Here is a 17,262-nt window from a genome sequence, read left to right as displayed (position 1 = left end):
TTGCTAAATCCCCTCATCATGTCAGTCAAGGCAGTTTTGAGGGGCAAATGGACTTGAGATTGACCTGTGGTTCTAGTCCTAGCTTTGTCATTCTGTGTGATCTTGTAAAAGTCATGTTTATCATTTTGTTTATTCCTTGCTGCCTGTCATCTCTTTTCTCTTCATTCAAAGCACTAGTTTTTCTACCTTCCTCACCTTAAATTGTATCATGACAATCAGAGTGGATTTGACAGCACTTTGTAACAATTAAGCTCTATACTAAAATAAGGTCATGATTGTACTTCGAAGATACTTTGGAGACTGTCATAAAGACAGATGCTGATAATAGTTAACAACATTGTATGCAACCATATGAGGAACAGGAGCCAGAGGGAGTCAGAGTCTCATCAGGATCATTGCCCGGCCCACCTCTTTTCTGTCTGTCATAAACCCTAGGATGACATTCATTTATTTCAATAAATTAGAGCTGAAAGGACAGTGGTGTCTCATGCAGTCTAGTGGAGGAAATCAGATGATACTTCTCTGATCCACTAATCTGGAGGTAAGTGCCATTGAGAAGAAAATGGACAATAGCTGCACTAAAAACTATTCTGTGTAATCCCTATTGCATTTCATCTCTTTTTATCCATTCACTCATACATTTATTCAACATGTATTGAGCAGACTTTACTAAGTTCCAAATCTGTGCTAGGCTTGTGAGCTCTGATGATGCAGCAATTCCATTTCTTGGGTGTGAGTCATGATGTGCTTTTATTTATTTTTTTTCCTCATACCTTATACACTTGCCTCTTACCCATATCCAAAATATAATATGCAAGGACTATATTTTGAAAGTGAGAAAATAAATGGGATGGAATACTATGATTGCAACCTCTCACTAGGTAGGCAGAATGACTTTTCTCTGTCTGGAGACATAAATGTGAACATAGATGACCTCCAAAGGTTTCTGGTATTTCTCAAACTCTGAAATGGCTCAGAGTAAGATAGAATCAAACCAGCTTCACTATGCCTGCTGGCTGAAAAGTCATACATATATTTAAACTTTTACTTGAATTTCTCTTTTATTGATGGAAAATTTTCTCTTCTTTATTGCTATTTCTTATTAAAATATGTTGCCATTTTCTCACTTAATGAATGCTCTCTCTCCCATAAGGGCTTGCATCACTGCCTAAACTGCTCACAGCAAACTCTGCAAATCCTTTGATATCTACTTTTTCCTTCACAGCCCAGTTCCCCTCCAAGTCTCTACTTCTTTCCTTTATTTCTTCCTCTTTCCTTGCCATCGTTCTTTATATCCCTTTTTTTTGCTTCTCATTTGAAATCATAAAACAAGAATGGTTTTATTCTTATATTAAATTGTTATTATTTTATTGTTATTCATTTGGATTTGAAATGTGAGTGGCAAAAGCTACAGGGATTGTATTCTTTCTTCAGTAGAGGCCCTTCAATGTGCTTCTACTTTGCCAGGAAAGAAACAGAAGCTTTTTGAAAGAATGTTCTCAACTTCCTATCTTTCTTTTCTAAAAAATCCTAATATTCTCACCCATCTGTAGATTTTCTCTCAGAGGGAAATGGCACAGAATATAAACTTTTTACTTAATCCTCCTCACCCACTAATAAGGTAAGCCCTTACAATGCTTTGCCAGTCTATTAAAACAGTCTCTGAAAAATTAACAGTGACTTAGCCATTGTAAGTAAAATGTCTAAAAAACAAACAAACAAACAAACAAACTTGTCCTACTTCATTTTTTTTTTTTTTGTAGTTAACAGTGGTGGCTTGGTTTTATTGACATTATGTACTATTACTTTCATCCTATTTCTCTGATTCTCCATTCTCTGTCCCCTTTCTAGTTTTAACATTATGACCTGCCCTCATTTAAAAGTTATCAGTTTTATGAACTGACCCCCCATCTTTCCTTTTCACCATTCATCTCCTAGGGACTTTCTCCATACCCACGGTGCATACCTGTAACTCAAGCCCTCAGTCACACCACAATCGCTACATATAATATCCTCTAGACCCTCTCCCCAGAAATTTCTCTTTAAATTCAGCATATCCAAACTGGACTCGGTCTCTAAAACATGTGTCTTCTGTTGCCATCCATCTTGACTTATTGAATGGTATTCATATAATGGAAATGTCTATTCATAGACTTTTCCAAGATAGGAAACGCATGGGATTTTAAATTTAATTTTTTTAATGTTCTCTTCTAATGGCTAAAGTACTGTGCAATAGTAGTGGGAAAATACGGTTTAATGTCCAATAACATAGACTTTGCAGTACAATGTCAGGGTTTAAATTTCATCCCCAACACTTACTTGCTCTGTAAACCTACCCAGGTCACTTTACCTCTCTGCGCTACAATTTTCTCACCTGTACTATGCTCCTAAGAATAGAACTTACAAGATAGAACTGGTGTCAGAGTTGAATGATGTAATGCACATTAGGCATTTACAAATTAACAGGCTCACAATGCATTTAATAAATGTTATCTTTTAGGATTTTAATGCATGTGACAATGTACTAGTCACACTACACTTATATATATATAACACAATAGAGCATTTTTCAATGCAATTGAATAAAATTTATGAAGGCAGAACAAAGGAGAACTCAGTTCAGATATTACAGGAACAGACCTGGATACCTAGATGTCATATCAATCCCAGCCCCACAGGCAAAACTCACTCTGAATGCCTTCTGGTTTCGTTTCCTCATTCTAAACCAAAGATTTCAGGCTTTTCCTGGTGATTTCAGATTTTTCTCCTTTGCTCCTTGTGTTTCAAACCTAGTGTAAATCTCTTCTTCCTTCCCATCTCTAGATCCAGTCCTGGCTTAACTGCCCTGCTATTAAAGACATACATCTCGTATCATATCTCTCAGAACGAAGTCCCAAATTCCCCTTTTCTAGAATTGTTTTCTGAAGTCCAAGATTCTTCCAAGATGTTCCTTTGTTCCAGGCTTCAGATTAGCCTACTATTATTTGCCTCCTCATCCATCAAAAGTCTCCTTCCTAGACCCAGTAGAAAAGGCTAATAGATCAGCCCCCACCCAGTTCTCCCCTATGCCATCTGCAGATGCTTCCTTACTGGCTGATCTTGGGACATTTAGGTGAGTGAGAATTCAGCCTTGTCACTTTCCAGGAATCTCATTCTATATTCCAGGTTTCTGAGTCCAAGATTGTAAAGCTATGACAATTCTTCTTAATAGCAGCCTCCAAAGAGCCACTTTCTTCCTGACGGGCTTCCAAGGTCTAGAAGGTCTCCATGGCTGGATCTCTATTCCCTTCTGCTTCATCTACCTGACAGTTATCTTGGGGAACCTCACCATTCTCCACGTCATTTGTACTGATGCCACTCTCCATGGACCCATGTACTATTTCTTGGGCATGCTAGCTGTCACAGACTTAGGCCTTTGCCTTTCCACACTGCCCACTGTGCTGGGCATTTTCTGGTTTGATACCAGAGAGATTGGCATCCCTGCCTGTTTCACTCAGCTCTTCTTCATCCACACCTTGTCTTCAATGGAGTCATCAGTTCTGTTATCCATGTCCATTGACCGCTACGTGGCCGTCTGCAACCCACTGCATGACTCCACCGTCCTGACACCTGCATGTATTGTCAAGATGGGGCTAAGCTCAGTGCTTAGAAGTGCTCTCCTCATCCTCCCCTTGCCATTCCTCCTGAAGCGCTTCCAATACTGCCACTCCCATGTGCTGGCTCATGCTTATTGTCTTCACCTGGAGATCATGAAGCTGGCCTGCTCTAGCATCATTGTCAATCACATCTATGGGCTCTTTGTTGTGGCCTGCACCGTGGGTGTGGACTCCCTGCTCATCTTTCTCTCATACGCCCTCATCCTTCGCACCGTGCTCAGCATTGCCTCCCACCAGGAGCGACTCCGAGCCCTCAACACCTGTGTCTCTCATATCTGTGCTGTACTGCTCTTCTACATCCCCATGATTGGCTTGTCTCTTGTGCATCGCTTTGGTGAACATCTGCCCCGCGTTGTACACCTCTTCATGTCCTATGTGTATCTGCTGGTACCACCCCTTATGAACCCCATCATCTACAGCATCAAGACCAAGCAAATTCGCCAGCGCATCATTAAGAAGTTTCAGTTTATAAAGTCACTTAGGTGTTTTTGGAAGGATTAAGTTAGAGTAAAGAGAGGAAGTTTTGGACATAAAGCCCACAGGTTTCTGTTTGTTTTCAGCTGTGCTGTGGCAAAATAATAAACCGTTGACTGTCAACAAAAAGGCAATTGGCTGTGCAACATAAGGCAGTGTGACCAGGAGAAAGTTACTTACCTCTCTGTTCTCCAGTTTCCTCAACTGCAGAATGAGCAAGGAAATAATTATAATACCTTCCTTCCTCATAGGGATGTTGTAAATATTTAATAATTTAGGTAGTTTTCTAACACAGTGTCTGGCAAATATACAATTTTCAATAAATATTAACCATTATGATTGGACAAAATCTAAAACAGTACAAAAGTTTCATCTTTCAATTCTCTGGCCAGTGTAATTTCATTGATGATTAACTGTTTAAACATATTTTTATTTATTTATTTTTATGTTACTTTATCATAATTACAGATTTTATTCATTTACAACATATTTGTACATATCTATATCCACACCCCAGGCAATGATTTTTCATGATAGTCTTTACTAAACATATGCCCACAAAATTAAGAAAAGGAGGAGACACCCTGGGAGTTTAAGGGAAGTTATCAAATTGAAACAGCACAAAATTATGCATGGATAATCCTCAAAAGATGTAATTGAGATTGAGGATTATCACCTGAGTAACTGGGGAAAAGCCTTGATTTCTTCCTTTAGATATGAAGGTAAAAGAGTAAAAATGTAAAAGAAAATTATGTGTTATTTTGTGCTTATTTGTAAGACGTTTCTCTCATCTCTGTATCTAGCCATATCAAACAAAGTCTGCATGAAGAAACAAATACTGCTGTTTTTCTTTCTTGGTGTATTTTGATATTCCTTGGCATATAAATCTGCTGTGTCATGCTTGTTTGTGTTGGTACATATATCCTAGTTGGCCAGTTTGTGTGAATTCATTTCTGTACATTATCACATATATCTAGATACATAGGGAGTGAACTTAGTAACTCTTTATATATTCATGTAGGTATTTTCTGCTATGACTTTATGTGGAGTCATGAGAAGGAGAGGGTTTTAAACAGCAATTTCTTCTCTTTCTAGTTACCTTGTCTTGACTCTAGATTCCAGAAAGGAAAGTCACCAGAAGGAAAACATAAAAATGTGAAATTCACCATGAAGAAGAAGTAAATTTAACTAGTAGAGCTAGAAGCAAGTTACCTACACTAAAAATTATCAATTAAGTTGATCATTTTTTCATATGCTTGTTGGCCATTAAGTGAAACATCTCAGAAACAGAAAGTCAAATACTGCATGTTCTCCCTTATAAGTGAAAGCTAAATAATGTTTACACCTGGACATAGTGTTCGAAATAATAAACACTGGTGACTCAGAAATGTAGGAGAATGGGAGGGCAGTAAGGCATGAGAAATTACCTAATGGGTACAATACACATTACTCAGGTGATGGTTACAGTAAAAGGCCAGACTTCACCACTATGCAATATATCTATGTAACAACACTGCACTTGTACCCTTTAAAATTATACAAATTTTTTAAAAGCAATAACTTTTAATAAAACTTTTTAAAAATTAATAAAGATCTATTTTAGAGCCTCTTCTTTCCCTGTGAAGAAGACACCAAAGAAAACAACTGCAAACATAACCGCTTTTGCATAACTTTAAATAAGTGCATATGATCATGAATACATACAAAGGTACACAATGGCTCGAGTATTTTAAATATGTAGATTCATACAAATATACATTCTCGTGAAATACCAAGTTTTGATAAGATACATGCACTGAACAACAGTGCTTACATGCTCACACAAGTGAAACCATACAGATCTGCACATGCATGCATATGTGTCCCAAATTAGAAACCTTCCGTAACTACACTTTTTCTTAGTACAGTGTTTCCATACTGGATGAAGCCATCAGCCTTTGGCCAGTGCATGACTTGAATCCCTCACGGATCTGCCACTGTCATTTATTTTATTTTATTTTGTTTTGTTTTGTTTTATTGTATTTTATCCATGTTTACAACCTAGTCCACTTACTCATGCTGGGCCTCTTTTGGAAAAGTCAGTATGCCTCTCTCTTTGCTAGACTGAGGCCCCAAGGCAGGATTTGGGACAACTTGGTTATAGCAGAGCTCTTTGGACTACATCTGAATTGTGAGCCTAGGGAAAAGAAGAGCTTCCCTTTTACAGAGTTCAAATAAGATAGGTACTTCATCCACTTGTCACAAGAATATAAAAGTCCTACAAGCTGCGCCTATGCTTTCTGCCATTTGTCAGTTATCCCTTCAATACCAACTTGTTACTCAGCTCATGGGATATTGTTTGGAAATCAGGACAGAATCTAAATGAGCTCCAGTGGTTTGACTTAAAAGATTAGCTACCTCTAAACTCACAGAATTCAATAAATATTCACTTGTTCATATAGTGTTATGTCTAAGTAAACACTCAAAGATGACATCTGATACCTATCAGTAATGACTGGATTTATTTACTACTAGAAGCACTTTATTTTCTGAATTAAAGTATACTTTTTAGGTAGGATATTAGAGAAAAGATTACCCTTCTCATTTTGAATATTTTATGGAGAATCAACATATGATGGTAAACCATAAATATAGGTAAAATTTGAATGAAACCCAAAGGGATTTTTATAACACAATTTCTCTCCCTATTTGGGGCTGAGAAATGAAACAAAAGTCCTTGACAGAACTGCACACAACACTACCTGAAACCATACCAAAGGCATTATGTTTAATTGTTCTGTGCTTGCTTTGCATTTAATTATATGATCTTTGCTATTATCATTATGACCATAATCCTCCATAATATTCTGAGCACTTCTTACATCTGGGGCCTCATGTCAGAGTATGGAGATTTCCTTTCTGTGTCATAATGAGTTTGGTGTAAAGCCCAATCTCCAAATGTCAGTGGCTAGAATGGAACTATGTTGGAAGAAATTAAGCTGGAATTTGTAGAAATAGTCATAGCTGAATAAGAGGAGAAGAAGTGCATTGTGGAAACAGTATGAAAGGAAGGTACAGCAAGCAAAAGACCACTTACACAAGCCAATTATAGATGGCCTACTCTTGGTTCTACTAGGTACTTACATTAAGAAAGGTTTAAATTCAGGGCTGGCAAAGGTCTCTGAATAATGTTAGAACCCAAGAGAAGAAGGCTTAGGTTTCTTAAAGAGACCACAAAGAGCACTTATAAAAAGGTCCCATAAAGACAGAAATCTAGATATCCACAAAACATAATAGCCTATTCCCTCCCTTCATTTCTCTCTCTAAAATGCCTTCTTCATCAGCTTTCCCAGGGGCCAAAAATTAACTCTTCATACCCTTGTAATCACATAAAAACTCCTTTTCAGTTCTAATTACCTTTTGCAGGGGCTCATCTCACCCCCAAGTGTACAAGAATGGATTAGTTTCTCCAATTAGCTCCTGGATGTCTGGAAACAAAGGACTGAGTTCTGAGTGGATCAGAGACAGGAAGAGGAGATGAAGTCCCTAAGAGTATGCAGAAATCAGGAGCATATAGGGTTACCTGAGCACCCAGAATAATCATCAATACCATCCCAGCATTTTCAAGAACCTAGCCTGACTTCCTTCCTCCCCTTGGTGATGGAGAAAGCATTCAATTTAAAAAAATCCCTTTTTAAATTCACTTATGATTGTAAAGTGAATTTAATTCTCCAGTGTGCATAAATTGGGGTTATGCCATATCACACATAAAACATTATCAATAGCACCCACTCTGCTTTCCCAAAGTTGTGGCGTTGGTTCAAAACTCTTGCCATATTCTTCACCAGTGGCTGGTACATGGCATCCTCTGGGCTTTCCATCCTGGTATCTCACAAGACCAGTCTCCTTGCCCCTTTTTCTCTTATCTCCAGGGTCTGAGGTAATGAGGTCCAGGGAGCCAGGCCTGCTAGGGAATTGGTTAAAGATCCTTGAAAGGGTCTCAGTGGATACCTTGGGCAGTTGCATAAAAATCATGGATTTAAACATCCGTCCTCCAGTCACTCTAGCGTTCATGGCCTTTATTTTTAGCCTTGGTATGCGAGGAGTTCATATAGTAGCCAGGTGTTTGATGCTGAGTGTAGAGCCAAGAAAAGATCCCAGAAGGCTGAGCCCGAGCTTTGGAGAGAGAAATGGTAGAAGGGACTTTGTCTACCAAAAGGCTGCAGAGAGCACCTGCTAAGGATGGTAAATGCTACAGTCAGATTTTGCTGGCTTCATGGGATCCCAGGTCTGATCTTAGCACCAGCTCAGAAAGTAGACAACAGCTTTCTCACATCAGTCAATTTCCTTGTTTTCTTGCCCAGAGACTTGCCTCCTATATGGTAACAGCAGGAATATTGATGAGACCCAGAGAATTAAGCAAGTTAGGTGGGCAAAATTGTCATGCAGGCATGAAACGAGCTCGGTTATTAAAGGTCAACATCTACCCCTAGTCTCAGACACAAGTTAGTAGAATAGGAGTTATTTCCAAGAAACAAGGAGATGGATAGGAAGTAGTCTGACTCTTTGGGAAAAAGCTTTTCTGTGACATAAAACATATTTCCCTGAGTGATCACAAAGTGTGGTCTATTATAATAGAATCAGAACAGTCATTCAACTTGCTCAAGTCCCTTCAGAAAGTAGTCTTAAAGCAAAACAACTTGAGGGCAGAAACGCCATGGATTAAGTCTATCTTGCTGAACCCACTGTATCCTGGACAGCTGCTTTAGGTCAGGAACAATGAAGTCCTTACCAAAACTGCTAATGGGTTCTGCGAGGATTTTAAATGAGAGGAACTCAGAATAATTATCATACTAAGAACTCTCTGGCGAACTGGCTAAAGGTGATCTTTTCCAAGCAGATATCTCCTGGCATCATTATTCTGAATTTTATTTTATTTCCAAGTCCCCTCCTCTAACCTATCCTCATTATTCTCTCTGATTCCTGTTCTGCTGTACCTCCTTACAATCTGAAGCACAAGTTCCAATCCCAAAGAAAGTCTGTCTTGAGTTTATAGGAAAAAAAGATGTGATCCAGACATTTAACATTTCTCTATATCTTTCTAATTTAACCTCCACCCGTTTCAGGCTGCCTTAACTTAAATAATTGCTGGGATTCGTTAACCAAAATTTTTCCAACTTCTCAGTATGTGCCTTGAAGCTATAGAGATCTAAGTTTGAATTCCAGCTCCGGCACTGACTGGCTGCGTGATTCTAGGGATATTATAAAATTCTCTAAGCCTCTCTTTCCTCATTTGCAAATTGAGACAATAATACTAACTTGCAAATTTTTTCTAAAGTCTAAGTGTGGTGATTTTTGGAATGTCCCTAATACAGAGCCTGGCAAATTGTAGCTGTTCTTCAGTAATTCTATTTCTTTCTTCTTCACCATCCTATTTCATTTTAATGTCAAAAATATTTTCCGCCTTAGGTTTATTTTGACATTAAAATGAAATAGGGTGGTGAAGAAGAAAGAAATAGAATTACTGAAGAGTATCTACTATTTGTCAGGCTCTCTGAATTTTTTACAATAGTAATTATGGAACATGGATGTTTTAATGAATTTCATAGTGCAATGAAAACACTGAACAATTAGAGACTATTACATCAAAACAATAAAACCTGATTCTACAGAACACATAAAAAGTATATTGTTAACCCAATATGTAGCTTGTCTGTCCCTGACAGGTAAGTTTATCACAGCTTTTCTGAATTCACTTTGATATGTAATGTGGTAACCACTGATCACGGCCACAGCAGAAGCTGAGGAGCACGGTGTGAGAGCCTATATGATCTTCAGGTGGACAGTGAGTTAACGGCCCAAACTATTAATGCCACCGTTATTGGAGTGAGAAAGTGTCTGTGTATATCTTTATGTGTGTTTCTCCAATCAGTTTATTTATTTATTCAGCTAAAGAATCAGCAATGCTTTTAAAGGCCTGTTGAGCTAGCTCTGCCACTTGACACTGAATTATTATCTATATGGCAAGAAAGAGTAATCATTGTTTATATCCTGAAGTCTAGAGAAAAATCAAATATTCGTTCAAATCCTATTTTTGTCTTTACTATTTGTCTGATCTTAGAAATGTAAATAATTTTTTCTAAGCTTCTGTTTTCTTATCTACAGCATAATATTATCAATAGAATATTCATAGGCTTTTTAAGGAGATAAAACCTGCACCAAGTTACTATTAGTTAGCGAAATAAAAAATAACTTATTCATGCAAAAAAACATTCTTGGCATCTGCTGCGTACTGGGGCATGTTCTAAATACTGGATTAATAGAGGTAAACAAAGAAAAGCCCCTACCCTCTTTGAGCTCATATTCCAGTGATATTAATTGAGAATGGAAGATCACTGCTGTGGAAGTCAGGAGGCCTGAATTGGCATATGACCTCTTCCCAGTGACAAGACTCTCCTGAGCCTTCATTTCTTCCTCTGTAGAAGACTGGGCCTTTCCAGCATCACTGCCCTGTGTTCAGTGGGCTCTCCTGGACATGACCTTGTGGTTGGGGATGTGGCCATGGTTGATGGTGCTTTAGCCTCTCCTGCCACTTAGGTCCACAGCAGTTGGATTCCTGGACTTCTGGGGAATTCTGGTTACTGATTGACAGGAGGATCAGGGCTTTGATGTCTTACTCTAGCAGTCAGAAATAGCTTCACAGGTCATCATTCACATACTCTCCACCTTTCTCTGGAATTCTGTAAGCTGAGCAGCATTTATGAGCTACTTGGACAAGGCTAAGCTTCTATGTCAGGAAGACCAGAGGAGAAGGTGAGTGAAGGGTTGGTCTGTCTAGAATTAGGGCTTGTATGTGCCTGGAGAAGTTAATCAAAAACAAAAAAGAGAAAGAAAGAAAAAAACTAAAACTATAACAAAGAAAGCACAGTAAGATAAAGGAAAAGAAAAGAAGGTGAAATAAAAGTTAGAATGTTAGTGAGAGGCCTGGTAGAAAAAAGGCATGTGAGGACTTTTTTTTTCCAGTAAAAGATCTATTTGTAAGAGGCAGGCAAAGTTAAATAGGGCCAAGAGGAATAATGAGGAAACTCTCACTTCTTAGTCTGAAGGAGCAGAGAGCAAGGACTACAACACAAGGAGTATGCTGCTATAAGAGAAAAGTCCCCAACAACAGCTGTGGCCTTCAGTGGCAGAACACAGCCACTGCCAACCCACAGTGCCAGCAGAGGGAGGCTGAATTCTCCCTCCTCCCACACCATTTTTTTTTTTTAGTAGAGACTGGGTTTCACTGTGTTAGCCAGGATGGTCTCAACCTCCTGACCTCATGATCCGCCCGCCTCGGCCTCCCAAAGTGCTGAGATTACAGGCGTGAGCCACTGCACCTGGCCCCTGGGTGCATCCCACTGGGTGAGACTAGTAAAAACTCTAGTGGCTAAGAAGACCTGGTTGATACAGAAGTCAGAAAAGAGCAAAAAGGGTGGAGCGGCTCATTTAGAATCTCCAACTCACCCAGTTTGGCTCATCACTTCACAATTCCATGTCTTTGCTTCTTATTGAAACTATGAGACAAATTTCCTCAAAAAGATACTGAGAGGAAGTCAAGGACCAGAAAGACATAACCACTAGAAAGAGCTGCACAGTTCTAGGTATATTTGATTCTATTTTTTTTCTTTAATTTCCACCAGGTGCAATCACCAGTACTGCCTCAATTTACTTCAGGATTTTGGAGGGCACCCACCTTCCCCCTTGTCTCCTCACACAATGACCCTGGGATCCCTGGGAAACAGCAGCAGCAGCGTTTCTGCTACCTTCCTGCTGAGTGGCATCCCTGGGCTGGAGCGCATGCACATCTGGATCTCCATCCCACTGTGCTTCATGTATCTGGTTTCCATCCCGGGCAACTGCACAATTCTTTTTATCATTAAAACAGAGCGCTCACTTCATGAACCTATGTATCTCTTCCTGTCCATGCTGGCTCTGATTGACCTGGGTCTCTCCCTTTGCACTCTCCCTACAGTCCTGGGCATCTTTTGGGTTGGAGCACGAGAAATTAGCCATGATGCCTGCTTTGCTCAGCTCTTTTTCATTCACTGCTTCTCCTTCCTCGAGTCCTCTGTGCTACTGTCTATGGCCTTTGACCGCTTTGTGGCTATCTGCCACCCCTTGCACTATGTTTCCATTCTCACCAACACAGTCATTGGCAGGATTGGCCTGGTCTCTCTGGGTCGTAGTGTAGCACTCATTTTTCCATTACCTTTTATGCTCAAAAGATTCCCCTATTGTGGCTCCCCAGTTCTCTCACATTCTTATTGTCTCCACCAAGAAGTGATGAAATTGGCCTGTGCCGACATGAAGGCCAACAGCATCTACGGCATGTTTGTCATCGTCTCTACAGTGGGTATAGACTCACTGCTCATCCTCTTCTCTTATGCTCTGATCCTGCGCACCGTGCTGTCCATCGCCTCCAGGGCTGAGAGATTCAAGGCCCTTAACACCTGTGTTTCCCACATCTGTGCTGTGCTGCTCTTCTACACTCCCATGATTGGCCTCTCTGTCATCCATCGCTTTGGAAAGCAGGCACCCCACCTGGTCCAGGTGGTCATGGGTTTCATGTATCTTCTCTTTCCTCCTGTGATGAATCCCATTGTCTACAGTGTGAAGACCAAACAGATCCGGGATCGAGTGACGCATGCCTTTTGTTACTAACTGTGTCTAGTGTTAGAGCCACTGTCTCCTGAAACGTGCCCTTGTTTGCCTATCCTTTATAATTTCTAACATGCATAAAATAAAGGAGACATTTACTTACTCAACAAACATGTACAGGGATGAGTTACAGTCCTTACAGAACCCTCACTCTGTTGTGGCCAGGGCAGGGGGGGGTAAAATGTAATATGATGTGGTAAATTTTATTTTCTAAAAATAGCCACAGCAATAATTCTAAACCCACATGCTCTTCCAGGAACTTGCTACTCCTCATAAAGAGATAGGGTCTACTTCTTCTCCCCTTGAAACTGGATAGAATTTGTAAATGCCTCATGAATTGAGTATTGTGGAAATAGCCCATGTATCTTCTCTCTCTCTCTCTCTTCCACCTCCATTCCACCACTGTTTCTGTCTGTTTCACTCAACGCTTGTTTTTGAAACCCAGCCCCTATTCTAAGAGGAAGCCCAGGCGACGTGGAGAAGGCCCATGTAGGTGTTCCATCCAGTAGGCTCAGCCAAGGTCTCACTCAGCTAAGGCTGAGACCTTAGCTGAGTCAGTGTTAACCACCAATGAGTAGAGAATCCTCAGATAGTTCCATTCCCCAACCTTCCAGCCTCTCCAATTGGCATCTGGTAAAGCAATCAATTGTTCTCTGACTCAGCCAAAATTTCAGTTTTGTAAACAAAATAAATATTTTTAAGACACTAAATTTTGGGAAGATTCGTTATACAATCACATGTTAATTGTATTCTTCAAAGAAAAAAGAAATTGGTTTGGGAGTTGTCTTCCCCTAGCTGGGGGAAGGGAGCATCAGAAAAGTTTTCCCTGAGTTGACACAGTAATAGCCTTAAGGGAAATGTAGGCATTAGGCAGTCAAAAACTGTAAGAGGAAGGAGACAAAAATATGTTCCAGTCCAAAGGAACAGCATGTGCAAAGCTGAAGCAGAAGTGAGAGAGAGGACAGTGTATTCTGAGAATTATCTGAAGTGTTGTTTTTGTTGCCATTTTTATTCTCTAGAATGTCAGGAAGGTTTAAGAAAAATGAGGTGAAGTGGAAACAGATTGAGGTACTGACTGTATCAGAAAGAGATTATAAGCCAAGGAACCAAGGATAGTTTGTTATGCCCTTTTATATGTTGTATTGTTATTGTACCCCCAAGACATTCTAGATAAAAGTTATATTTTGAGTAATACATGTCAATATAGTATTTGCAGTTTGGGCTTGGAGGTAACTGTGAGGAAAGCAAGCTTGAATGTGATATTGCCAAGGGGAGCTTCGAACACCTAGAGAGAAGCATGAGAATGTCATGTTCCTGCATGGTTTTAGTGCAGATTAAGAAAGGGTGTGGCTGAACACAATGTCTTCTACTATGAAGTGTATGTGGACCAGTTCTCACCTGAGGTTGGTCTCTTCCAAGGCAATCTAGTACACCTGACATTTAACATTGGATATGCCTGTCCCTGCTCCCAACACCAGTGTCCCCTCCTGTTTGGCATGAGAACACTGTTTCTGCAATGATATCATCAACCCCAAAATAATCAAAAGGATCAGAACCCAGTTTAAAAGAGCTTATTTAGCCACAAAGTTGAGAATGACCATTTGAGTAACACAGACCCCGAAGGAATGGGGTCATTGCTCTGAAGCTGAAAAGTTAAGGATTTGCTTATGCACGTGGAAAGCAAATAAATTTAAGAGGACTACAACATTTTCCACACTAAGGCTGACTTGTGAGTTATAGTAATTTGAATAGTTACAGCTTGTTTTTTTTTTCTTTTCCAATTTGAAAGAGTATGTTTAACATTCCAGGCTAGACAACATGATAGTCCTGAGGTTTTTGTGTAAGAGAAGTGAGACGTAAGTTAATCTAAAAATGAAGATCAACAGTGGAGTGGGAAAAGGTCTTCTCTAGCATTCTATAGTTTTTTACATTTTAAAAAACAATGTAATTAAAGAAAAGGAAAATTACAATAAGAGAAACAAAGATTACAGCTGCCTAGGTTATAGCTGCCTGTTACGTAACTCAGATCCCATAATCACATTTTTTAAGGCTCAATATTCCAACATCTTTCATTATGAATTTCTTATTTTTACAATGTGTATATGTGAATTGTGTGTATTAACATGCAAAAGGCCTATGATTAGTTGTACACAGCAAATTGAATAAAATATGCCTGTGAGTGTCATGAGTGGTATGTGTCTTTCATGCTTGTGTATACAGAAAACTTCAGAAAAAAAGACATTAAACCACTGAAAATTTTGAGGCATGTATACAGCTTCACAGCTGGATTCTCTCTGTGATGTGCACTTGTAATTTCAGTCCCCATAAAGGAGTTATGTTCTCTTATGTCTGGTGATAAATTAAAAGTTATTCCGATATAGTAGCAAGTATACTAAACTTGGGGTCAGGTATAGAAAGTTCTACTTCCTTACTGTGTGACTTGGACAAATTATTTTATTTATCTGAGATCAATTTTATTTTAAAAAGAACTAAAAATGTCTACCCCACAAGGCTGTCTGTGCAATTTAGACATATCATATATGTAAAACTTTCTAATATAATTCTTAGCATGTTCTTTTATTCACAATAAACTTTAGTTACTTTAATTCCTAACATAAAACATAAACATAATAACACAGACGAAAAACCACAAAGAAGAATGTGTGTTAAATAAATGAGGGATCCCAGAAACCACCCTGAGGGGAAGGAGGGCCACAGGTGGATTTCTAGAGCGGTTGCCTTAGTTAAGGCTTGAAGTGCTTATAAGCAGAAGTTAGTTGGGTAAAAAAAAGTTGTTGAGTGTTCTTCTCTCTCTAAGCACACATTATAGGAATATAGTGGGCAAAAGGATAACAAAACCTGTTCTCCTGACTTACATTTTGGTGGTAGAGACAGACAACAGCACAGTAAATGATTAACTATTTCATAAACTGCAAAGTACTCTGAAGGAAACATAGTGGGGTAATGGGTTGAGAGCGATTGAATGGGTGAGCAGGGAAGGCCTCTATAAAGAGGGGCTTTTCTGAACAAAATTGTGAACAATATGATGGAGTTAGATATTTGAAAAATAAAACTTGAGGGAAGAACATTGCAGAATGGCAGAACAAGTATAGCAGTCCTGAAGTAGAAATGAACCTGAGTGTTCTAGGAACAGCAAGAGGACCGGTGTGACTGGAGCGAAGTAAGCTGGAAGCTACATTAATTGGTGAATTGAAGATGGTTGAGAGAGAGGCTGACATTTATGCATTTATTCAGTATTCAACACTCACTGATCAATTTCTGTAAAAATTAATAGGAATAAATTGATGAACAAGACACATTTCCCACCCTCAAGGATTTGTCTAGTGGGGATGTCTGGCACATTTTGCAACTTGGGATGATCTACTGATTCCTGAAAGTCAGCCAGAAGGTATCCAGGTGAAATTAAGGAAAAATAGCATCCTAAGCAAAGCAAATATTCTGAGAAAAAGCTGAGAGATAACAAAGTCCATTATTTGCTGAAATCATTATTTGTCATTTCTTGATGACAAAGACCATTATAAATAATTCTTGTCAAGAATATTCAAGTGGTAAACTGAGAGAAGGAGGGTGTCTCAAAATGCAGTCAGTAATACCCAGAGATCAGAATTTGCAGTGACTGCAGGTTTCGTATTTATCCAACCAATATCTATTGAGTACCTCTGGCCTTTAGCAGAGAAGACAGTTACATTTCAGGAGACATTACAGTTTTTACTTTAGGCCTGGCATGATTGTAGCAGGAGGAAAGGAACTGCCTGAAGGTGTGATTATATGTTTCAATTGGATATGATTGACATATTATAATTTTAGGACTCTGTCCTCAGGGAATACTCAAGATTTTGAGCTTAGGTAATGAGCAGTTTTTTTTTTATTCCATGATGGTCACTCATGCATTTACAAATTGACCAATAGATATTTATTGGGCCCTTCTTTGTCCAAATATGTGCCAAGTACTAGAGGCACAGAAAAACTAAGATGTGCAGACATATGTATCCTATGGAGTTTACAATTTGGCAGAGATGTAAGCAATCTTTAAACAATTAAAGGCTCATATTTATTTTAAATTATGGTGTAGATATCAGTGTATAAGAAAGGGAATAAAATTGAGGTATAAGTTTGTTGTACTTGGAGCAAAAAGTGTCAGCAAAGATGAATACAGTACATCTAGCAATGTCCTGCTAAAGAAATAAATAGATAAAGAGAAGTTGAGAAAATGTATTTGTGGTAGGCAGAGTGCACCCTCTCCTAATGATTTCAACATTATAACCCCTGAAACTTGTAAATATATTACTTTACATAGAAAATGATACTTTGCAGACTGATTAAGATTCAAAACCTTAACATAGGCAGAATATCCAAGATTATCCAGGGGAACCCAGTCTAATTATATGAATCCTTAGAAGTAGAGACTCCTTACTGGCCATGGTCAGAGATG

At 39.0% G+C, this 17,262-nt stretch overlaps 3 protein-coding genes across 4 annotated transcripts in view; 2 read left to right on the top strand and 1 right to left on the bottom strand.

The window, feature by feature from the left end:
- Positions 1–17,262, bottom strand: part of MMP26 (matrix metallopeptidase 26) — a 287,646-nt gene that overhangs the window by 64,899 nt on the left and 205,485 nt on the right. The window lies entirely within an intron of this gene.
- OR51G1 (olfactory receptor family 51 subfamily G member 1) lies at positions 3,192–4,157 on the top strand. The gene has a single exon (NM_001005237.1). It carries the CDS (start codon positions 3,192–3,194, stop codon positions 4,155–4,157), a length of 966 nt encoding a protein of 321 aa, NP_001005237.1.
- On the top strand, positions 8,181–14,943 carry OR51G2 (olfactory receptor family 51 subfamily G member 2). The gene is made up of 2 exons (NM_001005238.2): positions 8,181–8,354; positions 11,792–14,943. The coding sequence occupies exon 2, from the start codon at positions 11,868–11,870 to the stop codon at positions 12,810–12,812; it is 945 nt and encodes a 314-aa protein (NP_001005238.1). The 5' UTR covers positions 8,181–8,354; positions 11,792–11,867; the 3' UTR covers positions 12,813–14,943.

Source organism: Homo sapiens, chromosome 11, assembly GCF_000001405.40.
Source record: "Homo sapiens chromosome 11, GRCh38.p14 Primary Assembly".
NCBI lineage: Eukaryota > Metazoa > Chordata > Mammalia > Primates > Hominidae > Homo > Homo sapiens.
Note: the sequence above shows the minus strand (reverse complement) of the source record. Positions and strands in the feature narration are given on the sequence as shown.